At 48.8% G+C, this 17,028-nt stretch overlaps 1 protein-coding gene across 7 annotated transcripts in view, besides 4 other annotated features; it reads right to left on the reverse strand.

The window, feature by feature from the left end:
- Positions 1–17,028, reverse strand: part of TRAPPC3 (trafficking protein particle complex subunit 3) — a 19,482-nt gene continuing 2,454 nt past the window's right edge. The window contains exons 1-5 of one of the 7 annotated variants that reach the window (NM_014408.5): positions 12,766–12,915; positions 3,498–3,595; positions 3,149–3,248; positions 1,225–1,407; positions 1–751 (exon numbers count right to left, since the gene is read on the reverse strand). In NM_014408.5, the coding sequence (NP_055223.1) occupies positions 632–751; positions 1,225–1,407; positions 3,149–3,248; positions 3,498–3,595; positions 12,766–12,807 (543 nt within the window). In that variant the 5' untranslated portion in view covers positions 12,808–12,915 and the 3' untranslated portion in view covers positions 1–631. Of the gene's footprint in view, positions 752–1,224; positions 1,408–3,148; positions 3,273–3,497; positions 3,596–12,520; positions 12,916–17,028 lie in introns of those variants that run through there. The other 6 variants (NM_001270894.2, NM_001270896.2, NM_001270895.2 and 3 more) reach the window with 6 other exon arrangements.
- Positions 12,585–13,245: an enhancer, noted in NCBI's record as "H3K27ac hESC enhancer chr1:36614757-36615417 (GRCh37/hg19 assembly coordinates)". NCBI's record gives its function as "activates a minimal SCP1, AML or CMV promoter by ChIP-STARR-seq in primed H9 embryonic stem cells {active_cell/tissue: H9 hESC(primed)}" and the evidence as "EXISTENCE:reporter gene assay evidence [ECO:0000049][PMID:30033119]".
- Positions 12,585–13,468: a biological region, named in NCBI's record as "H3K27ac hESC enhancer GRCh37_chr1:36614757-36615417".
- Positions 12,599–12,678: an enhancer, noted in NCBI's record as "active region_742". NCBI's record gives its function as "activates an Ori minimal core promoter by ATAC-STARR-seq in GM12878 lymphoblastoid cells {active_cell/tissue: GM12878}" and the evidence as "EXISTENCE:reporter gene assay evidence [ECO:0000049][PMID:35858748]".
- Positions 12,809–13,468: an enhancer, noted in NCBI's record as "active region_743". NCBI's record gives its function as "activates an Ori minimal core promoter by ATAC-STARR-seq in GM12878 lymphoblastoid cells {active_cell/tissue: GM12878}" and the evidence as "EXISTENCE:reporter gene assay evidence [ECO:0000049][PMID:35858748]".

Raw genomic sequence — 17,028 nt, forward strand, 5'->3', positions numbered from 1 at the left:
TTGGGATTTCACTCAAGAATGTGTCTTTATTGAAGAATTTGTAAGAAAAAAGGATGTACCCTCTGTAAAAAGAGGAGATGTTGCCTCCAACAGCAGGGAGGAATGAGACCTGGGTGGCTTCCCAGAAGTCAGTGTTTCCGGCATGACTGGCTCCTTTCCTGGCAAACACTACAATGTGTCACACTACAGCTAGCAATTCCTCCCCACTCCCTCCCAGCCCTTCCTCCCTCCACCCCACAACCCTATAGCCATTTGAGGCAAATGGCTTTCTAAAGGCCCAGGGATAGATGTGCCAGGCTTGCCTCTTAATGGGGTCAAAGTGAGTTTTGCTTTGGAAAAATTCAAACAGGAATGTAAAATGGTTTGAGCTCTTTCTAGTCCAACCAAAGGTGATTACATCCAGCCCCTCTCAAGGGAATGGGGGCAGAGACTGTCGCTCCTGAATGTGCACACATGGGGTAAATGGACTATATCGCAGTCTGCTCTTTATTTGAATGGAGAATGGAAACAGGTTATAAGAATATATAACATCCATGTTCAAGAGTCACTGAGTTCTGGAGGGCAGAGGGAGCACAGAGGCCTGCTGATTCCAACAGTGCTCCTGATGGCTATCCTCGAGTTGTAGGGATGGTTATTCCTCTCCAGCTGGAAGATTGTCCTCAATCCGCCTGATGAATCTCATCCGGATTTCTGTCACACCGTCTCCTTTCAGGGTGTCCTGGACAAACTTGGCCTCCACAGCCATCTGGACCTGGGGGACAGTGGGAAAACGAAGGGGTAGCTGCCTGGCCACAGCCTCTAGGGAACCAGTGGGGATGGGGCATAACTGACTCATCCACAGCATCCAAAAAAGGGGGGCTGGTTTCCCACAAGGACAAGATTGACAGCGCCAACATTCTGTTGCATAAGACAATGGCTCCAACCCTTAAGGAGAAACTTAGCAAAGAATACCCAAGAATGAGACTGTCACCAAATAAGCCTATCTGAGAATGGATGTTCCTGGGCTTTGGGGACTGACAGCACCACCTTCCACCAGCCTGGTATGGAGGAGTATCACCATGTAAAGATGTCCGACTTGGATCCTACCTCAGCAGCATCACCATCTCAGGCAGTAAAGCGCTGGGGTGAGCCAAAGCCCTTTCTTTTCTCTCTTTCATTCATTTAAACACTTATCAAGTCCCTATTGCATTTCGGGTGTCCCAGAAGATAAAGAGTTGCACTCACCATCTCCAAAGCTCCCCGCAACACCCCACACAAGAGATTGGAATAAATAAGGGATGAGTGGTTATCAGGAAGTTCCACAAAGTCCACCAAGGGGTTATTTTCCAAAATGAGGGAGAATTCATCACCAGCTGGGCTCCAATTAGTAATGCTTGGAGTGATGCCCAAGTACATCTTGAACGCCACCTGTCAGGGGACACACAACAGCACTTTGGGGAAGAGCAGCAGGAACTGTACCACAGGGAAGGTGACAGAACTGGCAAAGGGGAATTAAGTGGCTCAGGAACAAACCTGTGGCCTCTGCAAGATGACACTTCAGATACTCAGGACAACAAAGGAGAAGCATCTGTACATGATGCTGCACCCCTCTCCTTCACGGCATCATACAGTTTTGCCTGTCGCTTTGTTTTGTTTTGTTTTCCCAGAAACATTTTTCTTTCCTAGGCATCATACAAGTAAGCAACAACTCACTCACTGTGTGCTTGTACTTCTCAGTGGAAGGGAGCACTAGTCTTTCGACACGGTGGCTGCCTGAGTGCAGAGGCCCTAACCCACTTCTCTGTCCTCTGTCTGTGCTACCTGAATGCACCTTCTTGAAAGTGAATACACATTACTGGGCAGAGAAAAAGTCCTACCCTATCCACCCTCCTAATTCCAAACTCTCACAAAGCTCCCTCCACTGTCAATCCTCTTTAGGATTTGGGTATGACCAGCAAGCTTACAACAGAAAGACCAACTTTTAAGTAACTGACACCACAAAGTTATGGGTGCTATGTCATTTATTAATACTATAACAGATAGCACTAATACTAGTAATAGTAAACATTTACTATATGCACAACACTATGCTAAACACTAGCATTTTACCTAAATGTTCATGTCCATTATTCATTTACTCCTTAAAACAGCCCTGGGGGTAGCTCTTATTTTCTTCATGTTAAAGATGAGGTAACTGGTGCCGGGCACAGTGGCTCACGCTTGTAATCCCAGCACTTTGGGAGGCCGAGGTGGGCAGATCACCTGAGGTGGGGAGTTCAAGACCAGCCTGACCAACATGGAGAAACCCCATCTCTACTAAAAATACAAAATTAAAATTAGCCGGGCATGGTGGTGCATGCCTGTAATCGCAGCTACTCGGGAGGCTGAGGCAGAAGAATCATTTGAACCCGGGGGGCGGAGGTTGTGGTGAGCCGAGATCACACCATTGCATTCTAGCCTGGGCAACAAGAGTGAGACTCCATCTCAAAAAAAAGAAAAAAAGAAAAAAAAAAAAAGATGAGGTCACTGGTAATTAAAGAAATTTAAAGTAACTTATCTAAAAACACAAAACTAGTAAGTACTGGAGCCAGGTTTGTGAGTCTGTATTTTTTTTTTTTTTTTTTTTGAGATGGAGTCTTGCTCTGTTACCCAGGATGGAATGCAGTGATGTGATCTCGGCTCACTGCAACCTCCGCCTCCTGGGTTCAAGCAATTCTCTGCCTCAGCCTCCTGAGTACCTGGGATTACAGGTGCCCGCCACCACGCCCAGCAAACTTTTGTATTTTTAGTAGAGATGGGGTTTCACCATCTTGGCCAGGCTGGTCTTGAACTCCTGATCTTGTGTTCCACCCGCCTGGGCCTCCCAAAGTGCTAGGATTACAGATGTGAGCCACCACGCCCGACCGAGTCTGTATTCTTTACCCCCATGCTACTCTGCTACACCTTCACAGTGGAAAAGCTCAGGCTTTGATTTCAGTGGGGCTTTAATCCACAGGGATTAAATAATCTATGCTATTCCCTAACGACCTGGAATGTTTTTTTGACCCAAAGAGCTGCCTAGCCAGTCTTTTGGGAGATTAAAGGCCTCTCTAAGGGAGATAGAAAGAGTGGTAAGCAGTGCCTCTCAGCAGCAATTCTTCAGCATGGACAGGTGGCCCAGAATAATGACCTTGGCAATGACATCCGCAGTTTCCCGAAAGTCATGGCACCTCCCAACATTTGACCGAGCCAAGAAATCTTCAATCAGCCGGACTCCAATGTTAAAGCCCCTGGGAAGGAAGTTAGAGAAGAGACTATGATGGAGTCTAAATGTCTTATGTTTGAACATAAGGTTGTTGGTGGTAAAGGGAAAATGGGGATAATCTCAAAAACATCCCAGTAAATGAGTTTAGTGAGAAATGTACCCAAAATGTTGGCTAAGAAAGAGAGAGAACCCTGTTTTAAGCTCTAAAGGACAATGTAGACTCAGTGTGCTGGGAGGCCCCATTTCTGTCTCTCCTATGAAGGAGCTCACTCACATTTTGTCCAGCTGTTTATTCACATCTTCATCATTTTCATAGTCCTTACATAGCTGGGTGACCAGGGCACCATAGGTCAGGGTGAAGAGCTCAGAGCTCTAAAAGAGATTCAAAAGGCAGTCAGGACCAAGCAGCACAAAAGAGAAAGCGTGGTGAGAGTCTGGACCAGCCTTGATGCAACTGTCAGGATTCCCTCTAACTGTGTCTGGAGGGAAAGAACATCATCCCCTTTGGAGGAGCCAGGAAATTTGGCCTGCAAGGTCAAAGCAGCAGGGCTGCAGCCAGAACTACTGCAAAATGGGCTGTAAAAGGCACCTCATGCACTAAGCAATCACTCTTCCAACACACCAAGGTAGGCTTCTGCCAACCCAAGTCTCCACCACAGCTGTCAAGCCTAAGATCAGGTCACCAGAATCTGGTATGGGAGCAACGGTCATTCACTAGATGCTGTGAAACACCTGAAACAGACATTTACAAACTAATCTCTGTTGCTGGCAGGTGTGACCAATGGTTTCCACATGTCTTAGAATGTCCTGGCCTAGAGTAAACTGTACTCCCAAGGCCCCTCCCAGAAGCAACAGAGGACCCAGGGGCCCAGTCCATGGGGAAGGAAGGAAGTCCCAGACCAAGTTCATTGCACTGATGACAACCCCTTTCCAAAGTCACCAGCATGGGAGAAAATAATGTTCCTCTTAACTCACAGCCAAAATATTTCCAGGAAAAGAGGTGACTCTTCAGAATCAACTGGTTTCTATTACAATAGCAGTTAAAATCACAGAAACTCCTTCTCACATAAAGAATTCTGGGGCCAGGAGCAGTGACTCATGCCTGTAATCCCAGCACTTTGGGAGGGCAAGGCGGGTGGATCACCTGAGGTCAGGGGTTTGAGACCAACCTGGCCAACATGGCAAAACCCTGTCTCTACTAAAAATACAAAAAATTTGCTGGGCATGGTGGCGGGTGCCTGTAGTCCCAGCTACTCAGGAGGCTGAGGCAGGAGAATGGCATGAACCCGGGAGGCGGAGCTTGCAGTGAGCCGAGATCGTGCCACTGCACTCCAGCCTGGGCGACAGAGCAAGACTCTGTCAAAAAAAAAAGAAGAATTCTGTCACTTATCTACCAAGAAATTGATGTAAAAGGTGAAATGAGTGACAAATACCAAGACTGAAGAATGAAAGCAGCAGGCAGGGGGAAAGGCATTATCAGGGTTAAAGTGAGAAACATATTAACAGCACATCTGGACCAATGAATTAACTCAGAAATAAGGCTGAAAAATCAGGATAACCACCCACACTCTTCCTTCTGAATGGAGATTTGTCAGATTTGAAGCAAAGAACCTTCCTCTCTTCAAGTTTTCTGGGGAAGAAAGTCTAAGAAATGTAAAAGCCCAGGCTCTGAGGACCCAATGCTCCTCACGCCATCCCCATGGCCTGATGATGGGGGCACTACAAGAATAATAATTTGAATGCCTTTTGCTTAAATACTGCGTTCTACTTGTATCTCATTATCTATCCCATGATAACACAGTAATCCAGGAAAGGCAGGAATTAACCCCACTTTAGAGATGAGGAAACTGAGACCCAGAATGGTTAAAGAATGTGCCCAAGGAGGCTGGGCGCGGTGGCTCACGCCTGTAATCCCAGCACTTTGGAAGTCCGAGGCGGGCGGATCACAAGGTCAAGAGATTGAGACCATCCTGGCTAACACGGTGAAACCCCGTCTCTACTAAAAATACAAAAATTAGCTGGGTGTGGTGGCGCGTGCCTGTAATCCCAGCTACTCAGGAGGCTAAGGCAGGAGAATCGCTAGAACCCGGGAGGAGGAGGTTGCAGTGAGCCAAGATCACGCCACTGCACTCCAGCCTGGGCAACAGAGCAAGATTCCGTCTCCAAAAAAAAAAAAAAAAAAAAAAAAAGAACGTGCCCAAGGACAAACAGCTAATTATTGACAAAAGTAATTTGGGGAGAAAAAAAATCAAAGGTTTCCAAGCCAATGGTCAACCTATCCACTCTTCCCCACAACTGTAGTATTAATAAGCCCTCCTCAATAAAAACAAAAACAGAAGAAAAAAAATACCCAAAAAACTTAGCTGCACTAGAGTCAAAGAAAGTCAGTTTCAGGATCAGGAGGCCCTTTGAACTCAAATAAACAGTCAGATCAGTGTCTCCAAGAGACTATTTACCAAATATGGCAATTAAGGGGAAGCTGTTAAGGAGGGGAACGATTTTTTTAGTAAAGTCAAGGGCTTGGCACTAGAATGGTTTGAGCATGAATGGATGGAAACAATCCAGCAGTTACCAGTCCAGAGAATTGGCACCACTGCATTAAATCAGGAGAGCTTTCATTCCATTATTAATGAGCCCTTGGATGGAGACTCCAAGAGCCTCAGGCCACCATGATGCCAAGTAACAAGCAAATCATGATGTTATCAAGCACCTTATACATGCAGCTACCTCCTATTTACCAATAAGAACAATCAAGGTCCTGGACAGATCTGTTGGTGGTCATGGAATCCATATACCTGGGATCTCGGAATGGGATCCCTGAGTTAGGCTCTCCATACCCTCTCTTGATTTGCAAGTCTATCTTCATCTTCAATTACGAACCAAGCCTCTGTGGAACTGTGAGTGACATAAATGTATAACTTAAAGGCCTTTATGCTTTAAAAATAGAAGGGATGGCCAGGTGCAGTGGCTCATACTGGTAATCCCGGCACTTTGGGAGGCTGAGGCAGAAGGATCACTCGAGCCCAGGAATTTGAGACCAGCCTGGGCAAACACTGAGACCCCCAACTTTACAAAAAAATTTTAAAAATCAGCCAGGCATGGTGGTGGATGCCTATAGTCCCAGCTACTTGGGAGGCTGAGGCGGGAGGATGGCTTGAGCCTGGGATGTCAAGCCTGCAGTGAACTGTAATTGTACCACTGTACTCCCGCCTAGGTAGAAGAGTGAGACTCTGTCTCAAAAAATACAAATAAATATAAATATAAACAAATAAAATAGGAATGGGCTATAGTATAATGAAAACAAATCACTGATTCAACATTTACTGTGTGCCAGGCTATCTAACAGGAGGGGGAGAGACAATACAGCCAAATGAAATACATGATTTGCCAGATGGTGATAGGTGCTATGGAGAAAAATAAAGCACAAAAACAGATTGGGGGCATTTACGTGTGTGTGTTGGGGGGGTGGTTAATTTTAATCGAATAATCAGGGAAGGCCTCACTAAGGTGATATTTGGTAAGCCATGAAGATATCTGGATAGATAGCTGGTCTAGAAAAAATTCTAGGCACTAATTCTAAAGATCCTGAGGTACAAGTATGCCTGGTGTGTTTGAGAAACAGCGGGAGACTCTTGGCCTTAGAGAGGAGTAAGCAAGAGAGAACAGAAAAGGAAATCAGATAAGTGACGGGAGGTTGCAGAGTCTGAAGACCTGGGTTTTCAGCCCTTGTGACTTTTAAAACAAAAGTTCTCATGGGATCATAAAGGTCATAAAGGTCAACCAGCCCAATCTCTTCACTGAACATAAGCACCACATCTCCGCTACCACCAGAAACATGAATCGCTTCTGCAACACATCTATTTTTGTAACAGTTTCTCATAACAACCACGAGAGGTTAGCAGAACAAATATTATTCATCCCCATTTTACAGATGACAGGTTAAGTAACTGAGACTCAACAGCCTACTTATAGTTGAGCATTATCCTGTAAAAAGCTTTGTTATCCTAAGCCACTGCTTAATCTTCCTGAACATTAGTTTTTCCCATCTGTAAAATGGTGACAATGTTACCTGCCTTTCAGAGTTACTGTGTAATTCCAATGAAATTCCAATCAGATAATGTTTGTGGAGCACCTGCTGCACAGCAGGTACTCAAGAAATACATACTTATTTTTATTCTTAAACTGGTTCCATGTGGTGTGGTGCTAGATCACACCCTGAACTAGGTTCAAGGAGGGCAAGTACAGCACTTTGGGAGGCCGAGGCGGGCGGATCACCTGAGGTCAGGAGTTCAAGACGAGCCTGGCCAACATGGTGAAACCCCGTCTCTACTAAAAATACAAAAATTAGCTGGGCGTGGTACTAGGTGCCTGTAATCCCAGCTACTTGGGAGGCTGTGGCAGGAGAATTGCTTGAACCCAGGAGGCGGAGGTTGCGGTAAGCCAAGATCATGCCACCGCACTCCAGGCTGGGAGACAAGAGCGAAACCCTGTCTCCAAAAAAAAAAAAAAAAAAAAGGGAGGGCAAGTCATAAAGAAAGAAGATTTTGAATCAATATAAACAACTTTCTGGCTGGGCATGGTGGCTCATGCCTATAATCCCAGCACTTTGGGAGGCGGAGGCAGGGGTCGGAAGTGGTCACCTGAGCCCAGGAGTTTGAGACTAGCCTAGGAAACACATTGAGACCCCATCTTTATAAAAAATAGAACAAATTAGCTGGGCATGGTGGTACATGCCTGTAGTCCCAGCTACTCAGGAGGCTAAGGTGAGAGGATGGCTCGAGCCTGAGAAGTCAAGGCTGCAGTGAATTGTGATTACACCACTGCATTCCAGCCTGGACAACACAGCAAGATCCTGAAAGCCTGATTCTGAGTCTGGACTTGCTGCTTAACAGCTGTGAGTACTTAGGTAAATCAATTCACTGGGCTAAGCCTCAATCTTCTAACTCAAAAAAAGTAACAGTAAAACAGTAAAATCTGTCATGCCATTCACAGGGTTGTTGGTAGGATCTAGTAAGATAATGGACTTGAATGTGCTTTGCAGACAAGAAACCACAGGATTTATAGCAGCTATGCTAACATGATCTCCAAGTACTTCAGGCACAACCTGAACAAAGTAAATGAAACCAGCTCTACACTCAGGTGAGACACCACTTGACAGTTTTCAGGAGGCCTTTCTTCCCGTTAGTGCCCCAAACAAAATGTCAAATCTCCTTAAGGAGGCTGATCTTTTTTTTCTTTTTTTTTTGAGACGGAGTCTCGCTCTGTCGCCCAGGATGAAGTGCAGTAGCGCAATCTTGGCTCACTGCAAGCTCTGCCTCCCGGGTTCCTGCCATTCTCCTGCCTTGGCCTCCCGAGTAGCTGGGACTACAGGCGCCCGCCACCACACCCGGCTAATTTTTTGTATTTTTTTTCTTTTAGTAGAGACGGGGTTTCACCGTGTTAGCCAGGATGGTCTCCATCTCCCGACCCTGTGATCCACCCGCCTCCACCTCCCAAAGTGCAGGGATTACAGGTGTGAGCCACCATGCCTGGCCAGGAGGCTGATCTTTAGAGCCAATGCTCCAAGACTCATACTATTTTTGTCAAAATAGGTAATCCAGTGTGAATCCCCTCTAGCAGCTGGAGGAGGATCAATAGCAAGACTAAATCCAGCCAACTCTCTTACCCTCCAGCCTTTTGTCATGGAGACTCCAAGTGCTACTACGTAAGTAATGGCTCACCTGAGCTCAGGGGAATAGACACTGGGTTGGGTCACAGTAAGCCAACGCAAGAGAAGGGCAGGTCTCATTGTCCATGGGATTCCAGAGCCAACCCCCGTACAGGCACATGAAGGCTACTAGCTTTACTAATAACACATCTAGAGGACACTTACTGGGTGTCAACTGTGTTCTAAGTGCACCGTTACACTGCTAGCTTTACATGCATTCTCTCAATTAATCCTCAGAACAACCCTATAATATAGGTACTATTATTACTTCATTTTTTTATTTTTGTTTTGAGACAGAGTCTCGCACTGTCGCCCAGGCTGGAGTGCAGTAGCGCGATCTCGGCTCACTGCAAGCTCCGCCTCTCGGGTTCACGCTATTCTCCTGCCTCAGCCTCCCGAGTAGCTGGGACTACAGGCGGCCGCCACCACGCCCGGCTAACTTTTTTTTTTGTATTTTTAGTAGAGACAGGGTTTCACCGTGTTAGCCAGGATGGTCTCGATCTCCTGACCTCGTGATCCACCCGCCCTGGCCTCCCAAAGTGCTGGGATTACAGGCGTGAGCCACAGCACCCGGCCTTTTTATTTTATTTATTATTTTGAGATGGAGTGTTGCTATCGCCAGGCGGGAGTGCCGTGGTGCCATTTCAGCTCACTGCAACCTCCACCTCCCGGGTTCAAGCGATTCTCCTGCCTCAGCCTCCTGAGTAGCTGGGACTACAGGTGTGCACCACCACACCCAGCTAATTTTTGTATTTTTAGTAGAGATGGGGTTTCACCATGTTGGCCAGGATGGTCTCTCTTTTTTTTTTTTTTGAGATGGAGTCTCACTCTGTCACCCAGGCTGGAGTGCAGTGGTGCAATCTCAGCTCACTGCAAGCTCCGCCTCCCGGGTTCAGGCCATTCTCCTGCCTCAGCCTCCTGAGTAGCTGGGACTACAGACGCCCGCCACCGCGACCGGCTAATTTTTTGTATTTTTAGTAGAGACGGGGTTTCACCCTGGTCTCCATCTCCTGACCTCGTGATCTGCCCGCCTTGGCCTCCCAAAGTGCTGGGATTACAGGCATGAGCCACCGCACCCAGCCTACTTCATTAAAAAAAAAAAAAAAAAAAAAAAAGATGATTAAGCTGATGCTAGAACAATGAACAAACTTGCCCAAGGTAACACAGCAAGTAAGTGGTGAAACTAGAACTCAGGTGCAGGCGGTACTACACCTCTGTATGGCAAACATTTCTTTTTATTTTTCCACTGCTAGAAGATACACAGTATATATGGTATACATTTCTGTCTCCCTCACAGAGTATGTGCTTCTCAAAGTTAGGGACTAGGACTTCATCCTTGCATCTCCCACAGCATCTAGCACAGAGCTCTGCATATAGTTGGGGCTAAAGAAAAGTTTATTGGACAAAAGGGCTGTTTCTGTTTGCACAGACTAAAATCTAGTTACTTGGGCATACTAACAATTTAGATGGCTCTTGAGCCGTTTGCTTGAGCCTGCTCCTGCTATGTGGAGTGTACTTTCATTTCAATAAATCTGTGCTTTTGGTGCTTCAAGAAACAAAAAATGAAGGCTGGGTGCAGTGGCTCATACCTGTAATCCCAGCACTTTGAGAGGCTGAGGTGGGGAGATCACTTGAGGTCAGGAGTTTGAGACCAACCTGGGAATACAAAAATTAGCCAGCCGTAGTGGTTGGGTGCCTGTAATCCTAGCTACTCGGGAGGCTGAGGCAGGAGAATCTTTTGAACCTGGGAGGTGGAGGCTGCAGTGAGCTGAGATCGGGCCACTGCACTCCAGCCTAGGTGACAGAGCGAGACTCTGTCTCAAAACACAAAACAAAACAATTTAGGTCTTGGCAAGCTTAAATGGAACACAGATGCAATCCCAGTAATTTGTGAAGCAGAGTTGGAGGGACTGCTTGAGCCCAGGAGTTCGAGACCTCGAGACCAACCTGGGCAACACAGGGAGACCCCTAGCTCTACAAAAAAAAAAAAAAATTAGCCAGGCATGGTGGTGCACACCTATAGTACCAGCTACTTGGGAGGCTGAGGCGGGAGGACTGCTTGAACTCGGGAGGTCAGGCTGGATGAGCCTCAATCATGCCACTACACTCCAGCCTGGGTATATCATTTAAAATTAAATAGACAGTGCTATGAAGACAACCAGCATAGAGTTAGAGGTTAGAGAATTAGGCAGGTAATCAGGAGGGAAGGCCTCTCAAAGGAGGTGACATTTGAGTAACTATGAATGAAGGCAGGAGTGGGCTAAGTGACTATCTAGAAGAAGGGAGTTCCAAGAGCCTTGAGGGCAGGAGTATGCTGCTGCCCCTCCCTAATTACCTTACTTCACTGAAACGAAGAATACTGGGGGCTGGGGGTAGAGTCTGCAGATTTTTGTTAAAGATTTCAATATTGATTTCAGGCTTAAAAAATGGATAAAATGAGAGCAAAGTACAAAAACTAACCAGGAAGACCTCTACTCATCTCATAGGAAAAGGAGAAAGAAACATTTACCATGCCCCTCACATTTTACACCATCCCATTTAATATTAGGTAGACATTACTATCCCCATTTTATAGATAAAGAAATTGAAGATCAATCAAGTAAGTCAGAATTCCAACCAAGGTCCATGTGTTTCCCCTTACCTGACATTGTTTCCTAACAAAATATTCTCGTCTTTTGGCCGGGTGTGGTGGCTCACCCCTGTAATCCCAGCACTTTGGGAGCCTGAACAGGCAGATCACTTAAGGCCACGAGTTCGAGACCAGGCTGGCCAACATGGTGAAACCCCGTCTCTACTAAAAATACAAAAATTGGTCAGGCGCAGTGGCTCACGCCTGTAATCCCAGCACTTTGGGAGGCCGAGACAGGCGGATCACCTGAGGTCAGGAGTTCGAGACCAGCCTGGCCAACATGGTGAAACCCCATCTCTACTAAAAATACAAAAATCAGCCAGGCGTGGTGGTGGACACCTGTAATCCCAGCTACTCGGGAGGCTGAGGCAGAAGAACTGCTTGAACCTGGGAGGCAGAGGTTGCAGTGAGCCAAGTTAGTGCCACTGCACTCCACCCCGGGTGACAGAGATTTCGTCTGGGGGCGGGGGGAGGGAGGGAAGAACGAAAGAAAAATGACCTAAGTCTGCAGCCCCAGCCCCTAGTCCAACTTTATAGGACCATATGGTGTCCAAACTATTCCCTGGGAAAGAAGGGAGCCACCCACTCCATTAGAGGGGCACCACTCACTGCTTACTCTGGCCCATCTCTTATTCCATTGAATAAAACGTTCCTTTCTGGCACGACCAGTATCTGAACATCTCTCACAATACCCACGCCACAGTACGAGACACTGTAGCCTAAGAGTAAAGCCTAACAGTCAGCTCCTAGCATTAGCTTTGGAGTTAAACACGGGTCCAAATCCTAACTTCCCAGGTGTAAATATGGGCAAATTACGTAAGCTCTCCAAGCTGTAAAACGGCAATGTTATCCATCTGATAGGGGCTACTCTGCAGATTAACTGAGATGCTGTAACGTGCGTGGCCCGGTGCCCAACACATAGTAAGAGAGAAGTTAAGTGGCAGTTATTGGTATTTATTACCGTCGTTGTTGTTGGCTTAGCACAGAGCTGCACTCAGGCCTTGGGGGCGGGGTCTCCTCCGGGGAACTTCTCCGACGGTCCCCTCACCTGCCTGGAACGCCCCCGGAGTGACCCAGCAAGAGGCTTCCCCTTGCCAGAGCTCACAGGAAGGCCCTTTTCCAAACGCACCTCGCGCTCGGCGCCGGGCCCCTTCCCTGTACGCCTCAATTTCGCCCCGCCCGCCGAGGTCACGCGCTCCAAGTTACCATTTTCTTGCTCTCGGTGCCACGGTTCGCCTGCCTCGACATGGTGCCGGCCGCCCCGCCCCACTCGCCTAGCCACGGGTTAGCTCGGCGACCCCTGCAGACGCCGGAGCCTAAGCCGCTGCCCCTCAGCCCACAAGACCGACCGGCACTGACTCACTGCGCCTGCGCGGCCTCCCGCGGGGCACCACGGGACTAGTGGTCCGGCCGACGTGGGCAACTCCCGCCCAACAAACGTCAGACTACAACACCCAACAGCCCCTTTGGCAGCACCGCCTCTTAACACAGTCAACTACAACTCCCGGAGTGCTCCGCGCGCGCCTGCCTGGTAGAGCCCAGCTTGCGCTGGGCAGCATCCTGGCCGCTGGGTGGCGTCCGCAGCCTTCGGTAATCCTGGGTCACACACACGCTTCCTCCTTGTCCCCCTCCCCCCGCGCCCGGCTCAGAGATGATGCTCCACAAATTCCTCTCTCGCCGGGGTTGGTCTTGGAAAGTCCCTCTTTCGAGCTAGCGTCTTCCGCTGTTGCGATTCAGCTCCAGAAGCTCCCAAGATGTCCCAGAAAACTAGCAATGACTCACACAGAATTGGCTTCTTCATTAGAAAAATATTTAATGACCTACTATGTGCCAAGCATTTCGCTAGTGTCTTTCTCTTCAGACTGCCAAACCCCAAATGATGCCAGCACCTGCCTTCTACCACCTGTGGCCTCGTGATGGAATATCCAGTCTTTTAGGTAAAGTTCAAGTCACTTTCTCCCCCTCCCTCCCCCTAGAACAGCTACACTGCCTGGTTCCCAGAAAACAAAGATCACTAACTGTCGTGGCCGTCAGTTCTGAGTTCTAATCCCAGCTTTGCCATTTTAGGCAAGTTGCTAAATCTCTCTCAGTTGTTGTAAAGACTGGTGAGCCACGCATGCCCAGCACTTGGGCGCATAAAAGGCATAAAAGAAACGTGTATTCCCTTCCAGCCACCCTCCAAAAACAAGCCAACAAACAGGCACCAGAAACACGAAGGGAATGTGCTGGCTGAACTCTCACCCATCACCAAGGGGAAGTCTATAGTCCCTGACCACAGCTCTTTGGTTTCAGCTCCCGCGGTCTCTCAGCTGGTCAACTCTGAGGAAGCTGGGCTGGGGGGTCCCTGAGCACTCTCTGTTCACTTAGGCCTGGTAGCCTGACTGTAGCAGCTGCATTCTGGCCCCTAGCCCTCACCATGACAACCAGCCTGTCCAGACACGAGCCAGCCAGGCTAGGGAGGGCTGGGGGGCCGCTGAGGCTGCAAGCTGGTGCCCAGGGTTCCCCCAGTCCCTCCCTCAGGGTGCAGGACCAATCATTATTATACCCTTTTCCCCAGACATTCTGTTTCCTCCCTAGAGGCAGTGACCCCTCACTCTCCATCCTGTGTAATGCCACAGGGGAGGGAGCCAAGGGCCGAGGGCTCTGGGAAGGAACTTGAGGGTTGGTTGGGGTTGGGGGAGGAAAGCAGGAGTCAACTAGCCCCCAAGGGCCAGCTCAGCTAGACAAGAGCCCTCTGCATTCCCAGGACAGAGGACAGCTGAGGTGAAAGCTGCAGTTGGCCAGCCGGTCTGTCGGTCTGGGCTCCTCCCTGCCGGCTGCCCTTGGCTGCCCACAGAAACCTGAGTCACACTCACAGCCAGCCACCCAACCCCACCCTGCCTGCTGTCAAGCAGGGCGGTTCTAGAGAGAGTGGAGGTGGAGCCTTTCCCTGCCTGTCCAACAGCCTCCGAGATTTTGCCTCTCTCTGCCTGGGATTCCTCCTCTTGGCGTCTCTTTCTCTTTGGGACTTGCAGTGTCATTAGTCCTGAATGAACAGTGGGGGTGGGGGCCATCTCAGGTTGATCTATATGATCCCCTCCTCACTCAGATAGGTTCTTAAAGGCTTCTTAGGCCGAGCACAGTGGCTCATGCCAGTAACCCCAGCACATTGGGAGGCAAAGGCAGGAGGAACACTTTAGCCCAGGAGTTTGAGACCAGCCTGGGCAACATAGTGAGACCCCCATCTCCATAAAAAATAATTTTTAAAAAGGCTGTTCTGTTATGAAATAGCCACTCTTTTGTTTATTTACTTTTTTAACAAAAATAAATAAAAATTAAAAAAAACAACAACCAGCTGAGCATTGTGGTGTGCACCTCTGGCCCCCAGCTACTAGGAAGGTTAAGGTGGGAAGATTGCTTGAGCCCAGGAGGTGGAGGGTGCAGTGAGCCATGTTTGCACTACTGCACTCCAGCCTGGGTGACAGAACTGAAACCTTGTCTCAAAACAACAACAACAACAACAAAACTCCTTAGACAGCTGTTCCAAGGATTCTCAGTATGGTTTCCATCATTCCCAAATCCCAACCCTCCTTACCACTTCTAGGTGCCAGGACATTTAGGAACACCAGATGTCCCCTCACCACCCTCTTCTCCTTCTCCCTAGAAAACAACACAAGGGATAGCTTTCTGTTCCTATCAGGGGCTCTAGACAAAGACTCTCTCCTGGGAACCCAAAGGGTTGAATCTATTTAGTCCTGTATCTGAGTTCCCCGCCTCCCCAAGAGCTGGACAGGGAGGGGCAGCTGGCATCACCAGCCACAGGGAGTGGGCCCTGGGAGCTGAGGCCCCCCAGGAAGGCCGGTGCTGGTTAGAGACCCCGTGTTGCTGCAGTCCCTTGAGGCTGGGGCAGTGCCTTGAGGCTGGGGTGGGAGTGAGAATGGGTGCCTATTCTCTCCTCTGCCCCCACTGTGAGGCCCCTCCCACTTCCTGCAGTAATTTGTGGGTGTGGGAGCAGCATCCAAGGCCTCAGTTCTGAGAGATTTGTTAATTTTCTTAACTCTCCCAGTGATTTCCTTCATCTCTCCATCAGGTTCATCCTGGATCCTGCCCCACCAAACTAGGAGGCTGAAAATATCCTTGCCTTTCTTCCCCTCGGGGAAACAGGATGGAAACATATTTCTTTTTCTTTTTTTTTTTTTTTTGTCCTCCTTTTTTTTTGAGAGAGTCTTGCTCCGTCGCCCAGGCTGGAGTGCAGTGGTGTGATCTTGGCTCACTGCAACCTCCGCCTCCCAGGTTCAAGTGATTCTCCTGCCTCAGCCTCCTGAGTAGCTGGGACTACAGGCATGTGCCACCATGCCTGGCTAATGTTTTTGTATTTTTAGTAGAGACTGGGTTTCGACATGTTGGCCAGGTTGGTCGTGAACTCCTGACCTCAGGTCATCTGCCCACCTCGGCCTCCCAGAGTGCTGGGATTACAGGTGTGAGCCACCCCCGCCTGGCCAAAAATTTCTTTAGTATACTCTTTTTTTAAAGATTTTTTTTACTATCTTTTCTCTCTTTTTTTAGACAGGGTCTCTGTCGTCCAGGCTGGAGTGCAGTGGCACAAACATGGCTCACTGCAGCCTTGACCTTCCGGGCTCAAGTGATCCTCCCACCTCAGCCTCCTGAGTAGTTCAGACTACAGGCACGCACCACGATGCCTGGCTAATTTTTTGTATTTTTGGTGGAGACAGGGTTTCGCCATGTTGCCCAGGCTGGTCTCGAACTCCTGAGCTCAAGTGATCTACCTGCACTGGCCTCCCAAAGTGCTGGGATTAGGCGTGAGCCACTGTGCCTGGCCAGGATAGGAACATATTTCTGATCCCCATTCTGTGGGCTTCCCCCAGCCCCAGCCCAACCTTGCGGTGAAAGGAACAGCTCACTCATGCCTGTTTCCGTGCAGAAGGAGGAGACTGCCCTGGGCCACGATCTCCTACTGCCCTGGTCCAGAGGTCCCTGTCGCTCGCCAAAGACTGCAGGGAATGCTGTTGGGACTTCAGCCTCTTATGTTAGGGTTTCAGCAAGTACCCTACTTGCTCCTTCTCTGGGATGTCTATTTGTGGTGCCCCATGCAGCGTTACCTAGCCCCAAACTCAGAGAGAGACACTCTTAACCCTCTTGGTTGCTGGGGCCTGGAATCTGCCAGGGATCCTGGCCAGTGAGGAGGAGAATGGAGAGGAGTCCACTTCCTCTGTCCACCAACTGCCTCAATCACGGAACACGGGTGCTCTCCAGGCCCCTCCTCAGCCATCCTCCGCACACTCCCTGTGGACTCATCAGCAGCACAGGAAACCTTCAGGTCTGGCCAGGAGAACTGTCGTTTAAGCTGCCTAACTCCCAGATGCTCTGCTGGTCTCCAGCACCAACATCTTGTGAGTGCCTCACCCTCAAGCTAGGGAAGGGTTCCTCAACCTTAGCACTACTGACATTTTGCACCTGAGAATTCCTTAT

Source organism: Homo sapiens, chromosome 1 (genome assembly GCF_000001405.40).
Source record: "Homo sapiens chromosome 1, GRCh38.p14 Primary Assembly".
Taxonomy (NCBI): Eukaryota; Metazoa; Chordata; class Mammalia; order Primates; family Hominidae; genus Homo; species Homo sapiens.